Raw genomic sequence first — 20,247 nt, 5'->3', positions numbered from 1 at the left:
TCTAATTTCTCCATATCCTCTCCCACACTTATTATTGTCCATCTTCTTTTTTGATTATAGCCATCCTAGTGGGTGTGAAGTAGAATCTCACTATGGTTTTGATTTGCATTTCCCTAATGGGTAATGATGTTGAGGATATTTTCATGTGCTTATTAGCCATTTGCATGTCTTTCTGGATAAATATCTATTCAAATCTCTAGTATAATAAAAAATATTTAGTCTTCATCCTTTGTTCCTGTCACACAGCTTCTAAAACGCTTGGAAGCTCTAGAGTGATGAGCGTCTTTTCTATATTAATGAGATGACTGGTAGTCCCTAGATAGCTTCAGCATGGGGGCTGTTTGCCAAAAAGACCAAACCATGACTAAAAGCATGTAAATTTCAGCCCCTCATCCCCACCTCTGGGGAGGAGGTAGGAGCTGGAGCTTGGGTGGCCAATGATTTAACAAATCATGCCTATATGATGAAACCTCCATTAAAAAAAAATCTCTAAACATCAAGGTTCAGAGAACTTCCAAGTTGTTGTTCCAAACACATACACATTCTGGGGGAGGTGCACCCCAACTCCACAGAGACAGAAGATCCTGTATTCAGGAGTCTTCTGGACCTTGCCCTGTGTACTCCTTCATCTGGCTGTTCATTTGTTTCCTTTATAATAAACTGGTAAAGTTAAGTTAAATGCCTTCCTGACTTCTATGAGCCTTCCTAGCTAATTACCGAATCTGAGGAGGGGATGATGAGAACCCCCAATTTATAGACAGTCGGTCAGAAGTATGGGTGGTCCAGGATTTGAGATTGGAGTATGACATGGGGGCATTATTGTGGAACTGAGACCTTTAACTCATGAGATCTGATGCTAGCTCCAGGTAGATAATGTCAGAATTGAATGGAATTTTTGCACCAACCAAAAAGTCAAATATTTATAACTTGTTTCCCAAAGCCTGTATATAATTGTCAACAGAACTAATCAAACAAGTTCTAGGTCCCACACAGGAGATAGAATGAGACTCTAAGTCTGTGGTCTGGAAACCTTGATGTGATCATCATTGTATGGCTAAAGGGCTGTATGTCACCTGGTACATTCAACTAGCCTTGTTGTTTCTCTTTCATGAGAGATAAAATGGGAAGAGACTCAATTCTTCCCAATCTAGTAGAAAATTATGAAGATTAAAGAAAATTATGAACGTCAAAACCTTTTGAAAAGTGAACCATTATAAGAGGGTATTCACAGCAATCAAAACTTTGCCAAAGGCCTCTCTTAAAGCCATAAACTTGAAGACAGCAAAAGGCCATGAGAAACCTCACTGAAAGTTACCAGTTGGCTGATCCTTCTCTACAGGGTTCAGACAGATGAGCAAGCTCAAGGCAGTTCCTCCCCTAAGAGATGCCATTGTAGAACCAGGCTTGCAAATTACTGGCTGTACTGACATAACCGCAGGACTGCTCCATAGATTATAGTTATTATCCACGTCCATGAAGAATCTGGCAAGTACTGAGAGGGGTAGCCTGACTTCAAGTGATAAAGATTGCATGAGACAGATTAAGCCTTGTCAGTCGAAAGAAGAAAAATAAATCTTATTTATTTTCTCTGCAATTACTTGTATGTTTGATGAAAAAGCTGCATATACTTTGTAAGCACAATGGCCACCACTGTTAAGAAAGCTACGTTAATAACTTGGTGGTGTTCCAATGTAAAGGCGTCATTCTTAGATTAAAATGTCTGGGAAATGAACTCCCCAAAGACACACAAAAGGAGTTACTTGCTTACAGAAAACATCAAGATCAAATATCTTTGAGCTACTCCAAACCAAATAATCTCCCCTAGCTCAAAGTCATCTGTTGTCTGATTTCTTCAGTTATACCTAGTCCTAACTGTTAATAAATGGTTTGTTTCTTACACTTTCCTCTCATGGCTTTATTAAGATGGTGAATTCATTGACCACCATGAAGACAGGTTGCCTTACTCTTCTTTTGAGTCTCCAGTAGCACCAAACCCATGGTAGGTATTTAATCAGTAGGGGATGACTAGTTGAAGAAGCAATATGCAACATATATTCTTGAGGTACCTACAATTTCTAAATCCACACTGGAAGAGGTATTTCTACTTCTCTCTGCATAGCTGGGATAAGATTTGTCAGGGTATTCACCTTATATAGAAAGTATTTGGAGAGTTGGGTTATGGTATTCTATTTTTTTCTTTTAACATTGAGTTTATAAAAATGGCCCCTCAACCCAAACCTATCTCTAATAAAAATCAAATATTCTATCTGCTGAAAGTTTTGGCATAGACCTCATTAATACCCTTTCTAGGTCAGTGCCATAAACCACCTAGATGCAACTCAAACTATAAATCATAGTTTGGTGATGACTATCTGGCTATAACATATTTTATTCCTTGCAAAAGAGAGTTGATTATTGAAACTCAATGGATGGGTGTGATACACACACACACATGTGCACACACACACACGTTATATTATTAGTGAAAGTGGTTTGTTTTTGTAGATGTTAAAAAAAAATCTACCATATGTCAGCCTCAGCACTCCCTATATACACACTTCCATGGAGATTCATCTTTTCAGCTACTGGCCAATAGAGAGCAAATACCACTCATTGTGCCATTCTGGTACGAAGTACAGTGAAGTAGACTCATCAGAAATACACTAAAAATAGCCAGCTCTGATTGTAATCAGGGATAGAAAATGTGCATTCCTGTTCAACTTAATGTGCTGTTTCATTTTTAAATTTGTTCCTTTGTTGTTTTTATGTCTTTTGCTCCTGGCCTATCCAAAAGCTCTAGAGTCCCCCTATCCTGCCTGGTGACTGGAATTCTAATCACAAGCCTAGCTCTCTCAAATCATTAGGAAAACTACCAGGACTGCAGTAAGTTGGCACCATTCACTTTCTTCTGTATGTTAATCACTTAGAGGTTTTTATTAGGGCATTTGGACTGGCTTTGGCAAAAATAAAAGGGATGCACCTTCTTCACCAGTCAGTGGTGGAGGCAGCTCTCCAGAGTCGGCCATGCTCAGATGCCAAAAGAGAAGGCCTAAATGCATGCTTTTTAAATGCAGGGTCAGCATTGAAGGACTTCCACCTAACCCAACTGTTAGCATGTTCCCACAGTGCTCCCATAGCCAACAACTTGATATTATTTGTACTGCTCTCCCATTCCTCATTTTGGACCATCTGCTTTGGCTGAAGGCCCAGCTGTTACTGAAATGTTCTGTTTTCTCCAAAATGGTTTTCTGGAGTTCCCACAGAAAGACTTCCAGAATATTCCCTCTTTTAATCCTTTCTCCCCTCCCATTATCTGCTTTAAAAGTGAAAAAAAAAAAAAAAGAAAAAGAAAAAAAGGCCAGGTGCAGAGGCTCATGCCAGTAATCCCAGCACTTTGGGAAGCCAAGGCGGGAAGATCACCTAAGCTCAGGAGTTCGAGATCAGCCTGGCCAACATGGCAAAACCCTGTCTCTACCACAAATATAAAAATTAGCCGGGCGTGGTGGCACATACCTGTAGTCCCAGCTACTCGGGAGGCTGAGGCAGGAGAATCTCTTGAACCCAAGAGGCAGAGGTTGCAGTGAGCTGAAACTGTGCTACTGCAGTCCAGCCTGGGCAACAGAGTGACACTCTGTCTCAAAAAAAAAAAAGAAAAGTAAACTACATTCCCTTTCTGATTTTACTGCTGCCCATACATTCCGCTCTAGGAAGCCACCTGGGGAGCAGGCCTTTGGCAGCCTTGGGCTTGCTACTATCCTCTGGACCAGCCCACTTCCCATGGTGGGGTCAATTCGCTTACTATAAGGGGCTGCAGCAAGTCCTCCTATGACTTGTCTCTACCTTTTGACATAAAACATTGGCAGTTAAGGTGCTTGAAGTGTCTCCCAGTTGTTGGGTGCGCATTCCCCAGGGAGAATCCATCATGCCTGAAGCCAGTACTGAACCACTAGTCACCCACAGTTTCATCCATGAGAAGTCAGTTGTTTTTGGCTCCTTGGTACAATCAGGAGAGGGGTGTGTGTGTGTATTTGTGTGTGTGCACTCACACACCCTGCAGCATGTGTGGGAAGGGGAGCTTGTGAAGGGAGTGTGGAGTATCGTTCTTCTGCATCTGCCTCTCAAAACTGCTCTAGCTTTTCTGATTAGTTTCCATAGGAGCAAAAAAGAAAAAAAGGGTGGGGTGGGGGGGAGTGTAGTCAAATAGAGCATTCCTACAGCAGAAGCAAAAGAGCTTGTGACTTTTTTTTTTTATCCCGTTTACTTTTTTGTTTGTTTGGTTGGTTTTTTTTTGAGACAGAGTCTGGCTCTGTTGCCCAGGCTAGAGTGCAGTGGCACGATCTTGGCTCACTGCAACCTCAGCCTCCCAGGTTCAAGCGATTCCCCTGCCTCAGCCTCCAGAGTAGCCGGGACTACAGGTGTGTGCCACCACACCCGGCTAATGTTTTGTATTTTTAGTAGAGACGGGGTTTCACCATGTCAACCAGGATGGTCTCGATCTCCTGACCTCGTGATCTGCCCACCTCGGCCTCCCAAAGTGCTGGGATTACAGGGGTAAGCCACCGTGCCCAGCTCTGTCTCATTTTCTTATGCCCACACCCCACCCAGTTGAACATTTCCAGGTAATTTGCCTTTTTGAGATGCAGAGTGTGGAGATGGAGGAGTGAGGAGGCCCAAGTCAGCAATGGGCTGGGAACAATGCTCAATTTTCTATAAGGTTTTGTATCCCTCATGTATCCCCTTTGAATATCTCCACTTCTTTCCCACATGAGTGCATTTCCTTGACTTTGAGACTTCATCTTGCATGAATTAAAACTTGCATAGAGTCACTTCTTAAGTATTTGAACAGAGCACCTTACGGAACCTGCTTTTAAAACTATAGTCTAATGTTACACAAATCTGTTTCCTGTGAAAATGTTTTCTATATAAACAAGTACATCTTCAACAGCAAACAATTTTAAGATGATTGTTTAAGTAAAATGTAGCATGTTTTGAAATTTTTAAAATGGAAAACTCAAAGTACTATATAGGGGTTTGAGATGCATAGATGCAAGCATTTGTCAAAACTCATTCATTGTGTATAAATTTTACCTAAAAAGATAAGCAAATATCAAACTTTGGATAATAATCTGCATAAGGTGAAGTGTAGTAATGTCTGCAATTCTTTTGAAATGCTTCAAAAATAGGATGGACAGATATCTGATAAAGCAAGTATAGCAAAATTGTAATTGTAAAATTGAGGGGGCGGGTTGCTATAATCTGAATGCTTACGTCCCCCTAAATTCATATGTTAAAACCCAATCCCCAGTGTGAGGGTACTTGGAGATGAGGCCTCAGAGCCCTCACGAGTAGAATTAGGATCCTTATAAAAGGGGCCCCAAAGAGCTGCTTTGCCCCCTTCACCCTATAAGAATATGGTGAGAAGGTGACATCTATGAGGAACGAACCCTCACCAGACACTGAATATGCTGGAGCCCTAATCTTGGACTTCCCAGCCTTCAGAATCATGAGAAATAAATTTCTTTTGCTTTTAAGTCAGCCAGTCTAAGGTAGTCTGTTATTGCAGCAAAAATGAACTAAGACATGAGTACATGGGTGTGCACTATACAATTTCTTCAATTTTTCTGTACATTAAAAAGTTTTCATAATAAAATGCAGGTATAGAAGGGGAGACACAGCATTTGGAATTGGGAGAGTTGAGTCCTGGTCCCAGTGTGGCATGAACAAGCTGTACAATGTGGTCAACTCTTAACTTTTCTGGGTCTTGGTTTCCCCAGCTACAAAATAAGAATCTCAAATGCATTTTTGTGTCTAATAACCTATTATTTTCAGAAACAAATATGGATCAAATGGTCAGAAGCCTTCAATTCACAGGAATTGGGAACTCTCACTTGTGGAATTTATATAGTCTAAAGGAAACACTGAAAATTCTGTTATTCAACATTTTACCAATTGGAAAGCTCTAATGTGCCTTTCTGATTGTGTCATCTCTCCCAGTGCAAACTTCTCATCTGGTGCCAAGTACTGATGCCAGAAATACAGTAGGCAGGAATAACCTCTCCCAGACCAATTGGTCTGGAAAATTTGAGAAAAAACAATTAGACTGCTGTCCCATGGTGCTCTACCCAAACTATTTTGATGTGATTGTACACTGCGCTGTACTTTCAGACCCCACAGCCCTGTGGTCTGACCCCAGGCAGAGTGGAAGCTACCTACAGGATAAGGCATTTGGGGCCAGTCTGAAGGTAGGCCTTCCTCCTCACTCCTCTTTCTTACCCTCAAACTATATTCTCCATCCCCAGTTCAAAACGTCTGCCATTATGAGATGATCATTTGACTGGAGGTTCTATTTTTTATTAAAAATGCAACTACTCCTGGAGTAGGTAACACATTCAACTGTAGCAGCCATTTACATCACATTGTTAAGACCCTCCACATCCTTTCCAGGTGGCACTTAGTAGTGGGAAAAGAGGACGGGCTCTAATGAAAGTTTTCTCCCTGTCTACAATATTCTTTTCCTAACCTCATACTGAAACTGTAACTCATCCTTTAAGCTGAGATGGAACCTTATATGCAAAGCATCCCTGATTAACCCATCTGAAAGTCACCTCTCTGTCATTGTACTCCTTTCTTTCTTAATTCATTCAACCAACTAAAGTCTTTTGAGCACCTATAACTTATTGGGAACTACTCTATGTTCTGCAGTTACAGTGGGAAACAAGACAAATCTGGTCCTTGCCTTTGAGGGAATGATATTCTCACGTGCTGATCTGGGACATTCCTGGTTTTAACATTAAAATCTCATGTCCCTGCAACTCCCTCGGTCCTGGGCAGACCAAGAGGATTGGTCATGCTAGTTGGACACATAAACAATTACATCAGTTGCAATTCAATTATAATTATTAGAAGGAGTGAAGGTGCTCTGATTGTGTATCAAGAGAGGATTTCACTCACCCTCTGAAGTCAGAGAAAAACTGATAGGTAAAGAAGGGCAAAGCAATCACAAATAAGGAAAAATAATCACATTCAAAGACTCTATGTTAGAAAGAGTGTGGGATGTCTGAGAAATGTAGGGTGACTTTATATCTTGGTTTGCCTGGGACTGTCCTGATTATAGCCTGTTGCCATGGCATCATTATTAATAGTGCCTCCTTTCATTCTCACAAGTGTCTTGTTTTTGAAAAATGAATTACATATTCACCCTACAGAAACTGTAAGATGGCCACATGGCCAGAAGAAAGGAATTAAGGGGAGAGTCATGCAAATGAGGCTCTGAGGTCTCAAAAGCTGATTGTTCAAGGTCTCAAGAGATATGCCCAGATTTGGGATATTTTCATAAGAAATATGGGAAAAGTGAGACTCATCATACACAGAGAAGTAGCATGATTATATGTGAATTTTAAACAGAACAGATGCAAGAGTGGACGAGAAAGATCCATTGCTTTAGCTGAGATCCAGGCCAGAGATAACAGTGGCCTAGATTAGGGAGGAAGCATCAGAAATGGAGCTAAACTGACAATTCAAAAGATATTCTTCAAAAGGAAGAAATGACATAATTCATTCTGACAGCAGAAAGGTCCAGGGAGTTGGAAAGGCAAGGCTGCCACAGTTGGCCACATGGGCTAAGCATAACCCTGGAGAGTGCCTTTGACGTGCAACACTGTGCAGGGAGCACTGCAGTGCAAGCAGAGGCAGCAGGTGACTGGGTGTCAAAGACAGTGGCTAGGCCGGGTGTGGTGGCTCGCGCCTATAATCCCAGCACTTTGGGAGGCTGAGACAGGCGGATCACTTGAGGCCAGGAGTTTGAGACCAGACTGGCCAACATGGCGAAACCCGTCTCTAGTAAAAATACAAAAATTAGCTGGGCATGATGGTGCGCACCTGCAATCCCAGCCACTCAGAGTCTGAGGCAGGAGAATTGTTGAATCCAGGAGGCAGAGATTGCAGGGAGCCGGGATCACGCTACTGCCTGTGGGACACAGCAAGACTCCATCCCCCCCACCACCTCCCCCAGAAAAAAGAAGAAAAAAAAGGTGGTGGCTGGCTTTCTGGTCTGAGCAACTCACTGACCAATGGTATTATGCAGGTAAAAGGAATCTGAAGGAGATTCAGAATCTCATGTCAGTTTTCCTGAAATCCTCTTATACGAATGTGTCACTCTACCAAGTATTTTGATCATGCATATCTCTTATTTATCTCCATCATTTATCTTGCTCTTCCTCACATGCTCTCTAAACAAACTATAAGTACTCTAGAGCAGACACCAGATTGAATTCATCTCTTCAATCACCCACAAAGCCCAACGCAGGATCCACCATGAGATAAGCCCTTGGAAACTCTTGGAAGTAGGTGAGTAAATGGGTAAGTAGGTAAGGGGATTACCTTCTGCTAAGGGAAGACTAGATGAAGGAGGGTTAGACAGACCGGTGGAAAGGTGACAGCCTTTAGTAACTAATTCCTAGTTACTCTGAGTCAATAGACCAATACAGGGATCCGAAAACTTTTCCTGTAAAGGGCTGATATTAATAGTAAATATTTTAGGCTCTGCAGTCTCTGTTGCAAGGAATCTGCTCTTCTATTTTAATGAATAGACAGTCATAGAAAATATGTAAACAAATAGGTATGGCTGTGTTCCAACGAAACTTTGTGTATGGATACTAAAATCTGAATTTTATATAATTTTCAAATGTCGCAAAATATTATTCTTCTTTTGGTTTATTTCCAGCCATTTAAAAACATAAACTCATTCTTATCTTGCAGGCCCTATAAAAACAGGCAGCAGCTGAATTTGGCTTTAGGGCCACTGAACCCTGGACCAGTATATTCATTCCCCTGAGATGGAGGATAGCAAGGCCTCTTATCATACATTTTTCCAAGCAGAATTACTTAAAAGCTCACGCTAAATGCCTTCCTTTTCTTCTTGTCTCAAGAACAAGGAAGATATCTAAGATCATACCATGCCTGCTCTCTAACTCGTCTTTCTAAAATGGCTTTGATTTCTTAAATGTTTTCTCTTTCGTCAACCTTCTTCTGGGGCCTTCCTTCCTTCTCTGCTTTCCCTCTTTAACTCTCCTTTTTTATTAGGCAAGTTTGTTCTCTCACTAATAAATTTTGCTTTTGCTACCAGAAGCATTACTGGGCTTGACATTTTTAGTGAGGATGCTGAGATTTCTCCAGTTTTTGTTTATCACTTGCCTTTTCACAATCATGGACAGCCGCAGACCTTCCTAAATTAAGGATTGATGCCTACACAGCATGACCTACACCTGAAAATCTATTAACAATTAACAGCCAGTAAAAACAGACAACCCAAAGATCCAGAGGCTGCCAGCTTCATGGGAGGTGAGGGCCAATTTACAGTGCTGATGATGTGCACAGGACTTAATATAGTAATGCCTGTTCAACAGTATCTGGAACTCTACACTGGTCATAGAAACAGTGAGTGAGTTTGTTTGTTTAAGGAGAAACACTGTTCAATGCACACAATAATTTCCAAAAGTAAACTAAGACATGTAAGTGAGAAGGACAGTGTCATTCCTGCTTGTTTCATTATAGAGCAATTAGACCAAGGCTGGAGACCCTCACTAAAAGGCACTCCATTAAATGTGTTCTGCCAAGAGGACTCCTGTCCAACAGAAACCTTACTCCTGCACGGGAATGGTACCTCCAGTGGAGGATAGCATCTGCCCAAATGCACAGCTTACAAAATGAAAGAAAATTTGACACAACAAGCAGAAGGATTGGAGTAGCATCAATGGAGTCATTTTATTATTTTTTCCCAGATCGAGACAAGGTGTAAGTTATGACAATCATAGCCAAGATTCTGGAGGGGAGCAGTTCTTAAGGCTATGAATGTAATGGGGATTGGGAAGAAAAAGTGGGGACCCTCACTCTTTTCTCAAGCCAATCCATCTTTTATCTGTCATCGGGTGGAGATCACCCTGCCCTTTTGGTTTTTGCTAGCGAAAAGTAGTTGGTCATCATTGCTCGGGAATATAACCCTTTATCTGGGAGATAGCAGAAGTAGTGAAGGGAGGGAGAGAGGATGTGAGCATAGTGGGCATCATGCAAGAGATGCTTTCTCCCCATTTCCCACCACAGAGAACACTTGTAAAGACAACCAGCAATTATGGTCCTCTCCAATAAGCTAGGCCTTCTGAGCATCTCTGTTACTGGAAAGGTAGTGCTTTGATGTGCAACCCTATTTCCCAATCGACTTATCTCTGCAATCAGTTTCTTTGGAATGTTGAACTAGATGTCAAACACACCAGGCTGAATTGGAGAGTATTTAAACCCATACGCTTGGATGGCATTAAAATGAGCCCTGGCAATCAAACGGAGGCAAGAGAATTTGAGAGACAGCAAACACAAATCCTGCCACATGAGTATGTCTGGCGTGGTACCGCATGCCCGATGTGATAACGAATACCTAATGTGCTGACACAGTCGTGGCTGCTCTGCCTTTGATTCACCTCAGTTATGGCAGACTCAGCCTTGTTAGATAAAAGGGCTGCACTTCTTCTTTGCACCATTCACTGGCCCGTGGAAATGGACTGTTCTCACAAACTGCTAATTCTGAAAGCCTTTAGTGGATGCAGCCGGGGAAGGAAAAAAAAAAAAAAAAAACATACAGTTTAAAGGCATGCTCTGAATTTGCTAATAGGCATGCATGGTCCTTTTGGAACCAAAATAGAATTTTTGATGAAGTACCTTGTGGCAAATCTGAAATATTAGCCTGGGGGCCCCAACAAGACATAATTCACTCCACTGGTGAGAACAAATCTCATTTCCACATCCATTCCTCTAAACTCATTACTGACCCCGGGGGAAAATTCTAGCCTGGAGCAAGTTTTAATAAAGACACTGGTGGAGCCGTTGCTATAGTAGTAAACGCAATAATGAACAACAAGACTCTTGGTGGCAATGGACCCCTGGACCTGTGGAGACCCTGGAAGGCAGCTTCTGAAGGGCTTAACACTCCACCCACAGCAGAGCATAGAGTCCAGAAAAGACTTCATTACTTTATGTGATAATTTGTCACATAAGACTCACTCTGGCTTAAACGGCCTGATTGTCAGCTTGCCTTCAAATGAACAATGGCTAAGAATAATTTATTTTAAATTAATTTCAATTGCAAAAAAAAAAAAAGAAAAAAGTAGATGCAGTTGGGAAATTAATGACTTTGGGGTCAGAAAGACCTAGATTCAAATTTCAGATCCAGGACAAATCTTATAACCTCCTCAGGGCTTAATCTCTCCCACTAGAAGTAGTCTCTTAGCTAAGTACAAGTTATCTGTGGGCATGGCCTCTGCCTTTATTTTTTCCTGTTTTATCCCCAAATGCTTTGTCATGTAATTGACGCTCAGCAGGTACTGTTAAGTAGATCCACTTTAAAGGATTATTAGGAAGACTAAGAAAGTGAACATATGTAAAACCTTTGGCACCTTGCTTGGCACAAGATAGCTCCACAATGAATTCCGAGCAAATTAACTGCTAGTGTAAGACCACTGGTGGAAAGGCCAGAAGAAGAGCTTAGAGTGGAAAATCCAAACAAATGAAGAAGTTTGACAATTATTTGGTTCTGGTAGGAAGGGACCAGACTCAAGGAGTTGAAGGAAGTGTTCCATAGAAGGACATGGCAGGAAGGGGTGCAGGGCACCTTGAAAATGCCAGTGGGTACTTCGGAAGAGCCATAAGCCAGTTATAACAGGTGGGAGGTCATGCTTGCTAATCAATCCTCAGCTTTAACAAGAAGATTGAAAAGTTTCCCTGGGTTTCCAGAGTGGATCTATATCTAGGCAGGTACAGTCGAATACAAAACCGAAGCTTGTGGCTAGGGAACATACATACTGAGCCATTCCCCTATGGACAGTCACTTTCCTGCCGCACACAAACATGCCCTTTTACCTCACACAACTTGAAGTCACCACATCAAAGGTTCCAATGTTGCTTCCTCATTCAGGACAAAGAAAAGCTCTCAGGAGGGAAGTGCAAATGTATCTGGAGGCACACCCTGTCCTGACTTGTTAAGGTAGGTATTCTCCTTACTTCCCACCGCATCCTAACACAGCCCTTCCGTTTCAGTCTGGCCAACCTGTTCCCTACATCCTCTGTGACCACAGGATGACTTCCTTATTCCCATGTGTCTGCTCTTTGACCAAAACTACACATTCTTTAAGTCTGAAATAATCTATACAACCTTTCCATTCATTAAGAGAGAGAAAATGAGAGCAACCTGGTGCAATGGGATCATTCTCCATCTCCTCTCAGTCTTTACCACACTGTTTCATTTACTTCTACATAATATGAGAATTTTCTCTAAGTGTTTATAACAGACATCTTGTTTCCTCAAACAAAACATTACTTCTCCAAGCAGGAACTCCTTGTTGCATATTTTTCCATGAACACCAGGCTGGTTATTCACCCAAATGATCCAGCAAATACCAATCAAATAAAGGTTGAAAGGAAGTCAGCTGATACCTGCTTCACATCACATGGACAGGGGCAAACAGAGTTTGTGTGATTCTCGGGAACTTTCTGCAAATATTTTTAGTAAATATTATACAAAAAGTAATCAAAAGGAATACCAACTGCACTGTACAAACTTACATATAAACTTATACAGTCATAATGACACTCCATAATGGCATTTTGGCCAATGGTGGACTGCATATATGACCATAATCCCATAAGACTGTAATGGAACATATATAGAAACCTGATACATGGTCCTTCATATTGGCATTGCAGATCAAGTAGCGAAAATGACTTATATTCCGTAATGGTGCTGGGACATTTAGTTTTCCATATGAAAAATGTATATAAATAAAAAAATACATACCATCTAGGTTTGTATAAGTACATTCTACGATGTTCGACCAACAATGAAAACGCATTTCTCAGAACATATCCTGTCAATAATGGAAGCATGACTGTCATCAAACATACACAACATGCACAAATACATTCACACACCATTTAGCCCTTTTCACAGGCAAGATTCCTAAGCAGCCTCTGATTTAACTTCTGGCTGTAATCAACTTTTGTGAGCTGAGGCTGCCCATAACCAGCAAAGCCACTTGAGAAAGAGTCTACAGTCTCTGTAAGAGGATCAGGGCTGACCCACTCCAGCCACTAGGGCTGACTCTCTGGACTACCTGCTGCTCCAGATGACTGCTCCAAATCTATTCCCCTCTACACTGTCCTTCCTCTCAGTAGGTCCCTCAGTCTGGCCCCTCAGCCTAGCCATTCCCCTATGGAGAGTCACTTTCCTGCCACACACAAACATGCCTTTTTACCTCACACAACTTGAAGTCACCACATGAAAGGTTCCAATGCAGCTTCCTCATTCAGGACAGAGCAAAGAAGGAGTTGTTATCGGCCCTTTAATGAGGAACTGATCATGCTTCCCTGACAAAGACAGATAATGACAAAACCCAAAAAAGCAGTCCATCTGCTCTCTGATTGCTGGGATTAGAATGTGGGTGAGCGAGGAGACAGGGACAAAGAGTTTGTTGCTGTAAAGAACAGAATGGAGAATCCAGAGAGCTCTCCTCATCACTCCAGAATCATCAACTGTTCACTTCTCATTTCATATTAACTGTGAAATACATCTAACAGAGTGCTAGATAAGCCATCCATGTTAATAAGTCAACATTTCCAGGCATCCGAATTGTGGGAAAACAGAGAAAGTAACATAAAAAATAAAAAAACATTTATACATATAAAGCAGGGAAAGGAATTCTAGCTCAGATGGTTTCCCACACTGAGCAAACGGATACATGATTATCACAAAGTTGAAAGAAGGAAGTCTTGGGCATATGTTATATCTAAAGTCAAAGCAGGGGTGCAGATAGTAAAGCAGGAAAGAACAATTAGGGAATTAATTAAATAAAGCTCTGTTTATACTTCTATTGTCAGTGCTAATTATTTGTGGGTTTGAAGTAAGCTCCCCTGTCTTCATTAGTGGTTGTCAGTGAATGATAACATACTTAGATTTCCACACGTCCTCGTTGTTTCCAAGGATTGTATTTGCAGCGTCAGCTCACATTTTCACATGATGACAGTAATAATCAAGAAACTCATACTCACTAAAGCCAACTTTGCTTTTTTTTTTGTCTTAAATAAGAGGTATGTTACTGTTACTGTTTCCTTGCTCCACACTTTAGCCTCTGTCTAGTTGTTGGTATATCAAGGTAACAGCTCTTCAACTTTGAAGAAGACATGATGGTTAGGTTCTTTGGAACAGGATGAGTTAGCAAGAGTTCCCTCCACGTAGCATTTGCAGACCACCAAATCCATTCCCATCCTGTGTCCGTCCCATGTCCCTGCTCAGGCCTTCCTGATGCAAGCAAGTGCCTCTAGGCAGGAGATCTGTTTGCAAATCTGTAGGAAGCCTTACAATGAGGAATTGGTGACAGAATCCACTTGCTCATGCCTGTGATCATTAACTTTTCCTTTAATAAAAGAGTAGCAGCTATTCTTTTCTGTTGATTTCTTACAGCTGCCCTCAGAGTTACACTCAGAGAACAGCATGTGTTTGAACTTCTGCAATCCTGTAGGAGTTATGAGGATCTAGCTGGTAGGAGAAGGGGTGGGAGTGGTGGGAGCAAAGACTGGGAGGAGAGAAAATAAATGTCATCAGCGGTAGTGCCTTAGGAACACACCTAGAGAGAGAAACCAGGTTTCTAAAAAGCAAATAAATTAGGGGGCTAGGCACAGTACTTTTGACAACTGAGAAAAAGTGTGTAAAAGGGAAGGAGGGATGGAAGAGAAGAGACAGCAGAGAGACCAAAAATCACAGTGTATGAGAAATCTGACACTGCTCTTTTTTTTTAGCCAGTAACTCAGATAATCTAATCAAACCCATCTTCCTTTAAAGCTAGAGCTGGAGAAACTGACATTTTGTTTCTTTTGAAGATTTTTTTCCTTAAATGGAAAGTTTTCTGTGGTACATCTTATTTTAGAATCTCTATCTTCTCCCCCTCTCTTTTTTTAAAAAAAAATTAGAACTATTGGCTAATTTGTGATTTTGTTATTTCTAGGCACACTTAGATTGGCCTTCACAGTCAGATGCTAATGGAGTTGATTCCATTGGCAGAGGGATGGATCCACTTACCCATATCACCCTGAGCAGTACATAAAGATGAACTTCTCAGGGAGAGGCAAGGGGGGCAGGGATGGCAGAGGACAACATCTTCTAAGTATAGAAATAGATAAAATGACAAGAAGACTAGAGTTGCCATCTGCTGGAGGATGAAAAGAATGACATTTGACACTATTTGCAACAGCAAAGCTAAACTCATTAGTAAAAATAATAAATCTCCATGTACTGTGTACTGCCAGTTAAATGATACAAAATTATAGCAGTGTGTTATTATTTCAGCATGGCAGTTTTTGGATAATGTAGAAAATATATAGAGGTAGTAAAACAATAGCATCCACTTTCCCTAATTTGTACTCTACCTACTCTTAGAAGGGCTTACAAATACTGCTTTATTCCCTTTCAAATGCCAGCAAGTTCCCTCAATATGTATTTCTCACTTTCACCACTGCGACTTTGAAAATGATGATGGGGTTTCTTCTATGAGTATGCCTAGTCATTGCTTCCAGATTTTCTTTCTGCTTATGTAACATGACCAAATGCATGAAGCTCACTAAGGTTCAATAAAAAGACCGCTGGACGGAGAATCACAAGGGTGGGGTTGATAATCTGTTTGCCCACCAGCTACCAATGTAACCATAAACCAATCACTTTACTACTCTGGGTCCTGGCATTTTAAGCTGTAAAATGATAAATGCTAGGGAGGATGGGCTGCAGAATCTCAGTGATCTCTAAGGTCCTTTTTAGCTCTCAAATTTTGCAAATCTATAAGCATTCCAAACTCATGTAGCACTTATAACATGAATATTCAAGCTAAATTCTCATCATGGCTTCTACTGAATGCAGCAAAACTGTATCTAATGGCCTGATTAATCAGCCATAACCATCTTCTTTGCCAGTGAAGGGAAAAAATGTTTTCCCCCTTCTCATATTGTAGAGAAAGAGGCAGTTATTTAAACAAGATTTCTCTGATGCTGCTTTTGTTATGGTGAGTGACATAACAAAGTTCTCTGATCAGGAAAAATACAAAACAAAAAACAGCTTTAAGAACCACAGATTTAGAATGGCAAGTAGATTTACCTCTACTTTAGAATGGCAAGTAGTTTTGCCTCCAAGACCAAAAGTGGAGACTAAGGTTAAAGGATTCACCTATACTTGAATGTCTGGTTTGGTGCCAAAATGGATTAGATCATTTAATTGCCAAATACTTCCTTACCTGAAAGAAACTCATCATCCTTCTTTCCATAGCTATAAATCCTGCAAATCTACAGTATCCAAGTCAGGTATCTCCTCCTCTCTAATCAATTCTTCTCCCCTTCAGCCTAGAGTGATTCTTCCCTCTTCTAGAAACACTAGTGTTCAATGTCTGAAAAACCTCACTTGGCAAGTGACATAGTCTTTCATTCATTTATTCATTTGACATATATTTAATGAACATATTTTTAATGCCTTGCATTCTTCTAGGTGGGACAGAAGCATTGAAACCCCTGTTCTCATGAAGCTTATATTTTAGTGGGGAAGAGAGAGAAATATACATACATAGGAACATAATATCCAGTAGTAATATGTGCCATGGCAGAACATGAAAGCAGGTGCTATGATAATGATCTGATGCCTTCTTTAGATGGAGTGGTCAGGGAAGAGTTCTCTGAGGCAGTGATTCTAAATTGAAACTTGAGTGACGAAAAGGAGATGGCTATGCAAAGATGGGAGGAAGGGCATTCATAAAACAGATCCCGCATGGGGGAGATCAAAGGAAAGAGTGTGTCTGGAATAAAACCAATAAGAGACATAGTAACAGCAAGATGAGGGGAGGGAGGTGGTCAAGGTCCAGATGATTTGGAGTCTCAAGGTCACGCCAAAAAAGGAGTATTTTATTCCAAGCATTCTGGGAAATCACTTGAAGCTAAGAATTTAGTTCTCTTTTCATGTAAATCAGTCTCCCCCACATCCAAGAATTAACATCTCACCTTTTAAACATTTCTCACAATTCCTAGGTCCTCCAAACCTTTTTACATGAAAGGCTTTTTAATAAATAGCTGCTGGCTGATTGTGTTGTACATGAAATCTTTAAGTTAGTTAATAGTTTAAGTAGGGGCTTAACCCCGAGACGATCAGAGGTCATGATGATTGCAGCCCTCGACCTCAAATCCACAGGAAAGCTGAAGAAATGAGCTCAGCATGGAAGCAGAATGTCCTGACTTCGCCTATGACTTGACTCTGAGAGTCGTGAAAGTGCCTCACACTGCGAGCAGCGGCCCACGAGGATCCAAGAGAGCCCCTTTGTCGACCCCCTTCAAAGCAAAGCAAATCACCTAACTTTGGAGAGGTTCTGACAGTCTTCATATTCATGTGTCACTTAGCTTTAATTGAAACTTTAGAACAGGTAAATTTGTAACAATTCATATTTTTCATGCTCAAAAGAGTGTCTTTGTGTAAAACAGCAGCCTGAATAATGGGGGGTAGGGGGAGGATTAATTCAGAGAGGTTATTTGTTTTTTTCTCTCTTGATGCAAGCCCCATTTTTACATGCTTTTCTTTTGACTGAAGGGCAATCTTTAATTGCAGCTTTAAGGGAAGCTTAAAGAGGTCATTAAACATTATGAAAACTGAAATACCACTAATGTTAGCTGAGAGTAACCTGACTTGTTTTTTCATACTGAACTCTAGAAAAGGCAAATTCCTTGTAAAGAGTTAGGGTGGAATATCCTGCTCCACCCACCCCTAGTGGTCTAGGAGTCCTGTAAGCTATGATGGGAGGAATTTGTGGCTTGAAACCCAGGCAGATGCTAGAAACTTTTAAATCCTGATATTCATGGTGCTAAAAATACATATGGATTCACTAATAGAAAAAGAAGGAGGAGGAGGAGGAGGAGAAAAAGAAAGAAAAGAAGAAACACAAAGAACGTGATTAAGAAAATGAGAGGATGAAAGTACAGAGAGAAAGAGAAGAGGAGCTGGCAAGAGAGAAGGTCAATAAGAAACCACAGATGCTGCATAGAGGCAGAGATCATAACCTTCCAAGCATCTAGGACAGTGCCTGACACACAACAGATGCTTAAAACGTTGGGGGAGGGAGGAAAATACATGGGAAAATAAAAGAGGAGTTGTATTTGTGAGACAGCAGGCAAGCAAGGAGGAAAGAGAGAAGAGGAAAAGCTAGAAATGAAGGGGAAGAAAGAAAGGAGATCTTGGCGATGATTCTCACATCTGGATGCATATCAGAACCACCTAGGGAGACCGCCTCAAAACGCAGATTCCCAGGCCTGTTCGGAGCCCTATTACATCAGAAGCTTGGAGTTCTAACCCGTGTCTAACAAGTCAAAACCAAAAGCTCTCGCCAGCGGCTGCTATGTGCTGTGATTTGGGAACCCCACTGAGCTACACGAAAAGCAGAAGAGAAGAAAGGTGCGACCAGTGTGCAGTGACAGAGCCGGTGCCAGCACTGACCCTGGTCACTCCTCAGAGACAGGGCACCTGGGGGACCACGACAGGGCACGCACTTCTCTTCAAGAATATGGCTCATCTTCAAGAACTAGAGTTCCTCTCCGGTTAATACCCGTTCTCCCTTTTGCCTGTTCCCAAATTACATACCCTTCAGTGATGCCTGGAATGGCAAGGGGTGGGCTACAAAGGGAACTGCATGGGAAGGCGGCGTTCTCTTTTGCCCATGGCACAGGTTAGGGAAACAGCCTCGCCTGGCCCGAAACGTCTTGGATGCCGAGGCAGCCCCTGGTTGATTTTGGAGTATGGCCCCCGAGTGGCACCGAGTGAGAAGACAATCTCTCTCACATGCTGAGTGAGGAACCAGCAAAAGCGACTGGGTTTTGGATAATGGACAAGGCGACACTGGCACCCATCTCCCCACACACGCGTTTCCGATCGTCCTGACAACACACGCGGCGGCTGGGCTGCGGCCGGGGCAGCGCATCTGCGCCGGGGCCAGGCTGGCGCTTGGGGCCCCGCGGCCTCCGCCGCCGCGCGCCGTCCCGGAGCTGCAAGGGCCCGGGGGCTGCAGGCAGCCCCGCGGGGAGCGTAGCCGCCCAAGCAAGGGAACAATTGCCTCTCGGGATTAAGTCTACGTGGGCCCGAATTGTGTGTTACTATGACAATGGTAAATAGGTTCACTGGCTTTCAGGGAAGTGGCTCCGTGCAGAGTGAGCTGAGGAAGGCACAATTTCTCTCCAGTTCAGCACATCTACACCCATTCATGGGTCTGTTTTCACGCTACATAAAATGAGGGGCTTAGGGAAGACACTGTATTACCTAGTTTTAATCACTGGGCATTTTATTGACAGTGACGTATATTGAGTTTGCTTTAGTGGCTCCAACTAATAAAAGCCTGGTAGTAGACTAGAAAGAAGAAAGTTAAGCATGCTTATCAGATGGTAATTAATTTGCTCTCTAGAAAGAAAAAAAGTGAGCTAAATGTTTTGATAAAGTAGTTCTATGAAATTCTACACATACCAGGAATGTCTCAAACCTCATCTTAAAAAATACACCCACATTTAAAATGATGTTTTGTTCTGTTGTTGCTTCCTCAGCAGGAGGAATAACCACTCTACCCTGAAACCTAATACACCTTTTTAAAATAAATAAATAAATAAATAAATAAAATACAGAGAATCTTCAGAAGGGCTATAGCTTTTCCTAGAGTATAGATTACCTACCATGCCAGAGCCAGCCTCGCAAAACATGTTAGCAGAAATAAGGTATTGATTAAACATAGTCACAGTAAAAACTCAATTTACATTAACATTTCCCATTACTGGTGATTTAGCATTTCTCATTCATCAGAGCCCACAAGTACATGCGTGCATGCATTCACAAAAACGAAACCTTGCCACAACTAACTGGTTGTAGCATATACAGACTTTTTTGATATATCAGAAAAGACAGATTGTTTAAGCCCACCATGGTAGGCTTTTAAAAAAAAGATTTATTCCACAATTTTCCTGGTTGTAGTTCATTTGCATACATTTTATGAATTCATACACCACAAATTATTTTAAAATATGCTGTTCAATAAAGAAATAACAGATTCAAGACAAATCACTAGCTCTAACCTACTTCTTTCACTTCATCTCAATGCGTACTTCCCCCAGCATCTGTACTCCGTTCAATATACACTGTACTGGGAGTGTTTC

The 20,247-nt window shown here is 41.6% G+C and overlaps 1 protein-coding gene and 1 long non-coding RNA gene across 15 annotated transcripts in view, besides 1 other annotated feature; both read right to left on the bottom strand.

The window, feature by feature from the left end:
• The window catches only part of CTNNA2 (catenin alpha 2), a 1,463,404-nt gene that overhangs the window by 307,136 nt on the left and 1,136,021 nt on the right, over nucleotides 1–20,247 (bottom strand). The window lies entirely within an intron of this gene.
• Nucleotides 9,005–19,004, bottom strand: LOC107985904 (uncharacterized). Its single transcript, XR_001739570.1, has 2 exons — nucleotides 18,695–19,004; nucleotides 9,005–14,612 (listed from the first exon to the last, which is right to left on the bottom strand). It is a non-coding gene; the product is annotated as an uncharacterized LOC107985904 (long non-coding RNA).
• Nucleotides 11,071–11,573: an enhancer, noted in NCBI's record as "NANOG hESC enhancer chr2:80557197-80557699 (GRCh37/hg19 assembly coordinates)". NCBI's record gives its function as "activates a minimal SCP1, AML or CMV promoter by ChIP-STARR-seq in primed H9 embryonic stem cells {active_cell/tissue: H9 hESC(primed)}" and the evidence as "EXISTENCE:reporter gene assay evidence [ECO:0000049][PMID:30033119]".

This window comes from Homo sapiens, chromosome 2, assembly GCF_000001405.40.
Source record: "Homo sapiens chromosome 2, GRCh38.p14 Primary Assembly".
Taxonomy (NCBI): domain Eukaryota; kingdom Metazoa; phylum Chordata; class Mammalia; order Primates; family Hominidae; genus Homo; species Homo sapiens.
The sequence above is the reverse complement of the archived record's forward strand: the minus strand, read 5'-3'. Positions and strand labels throughout refer to the sequence as shown.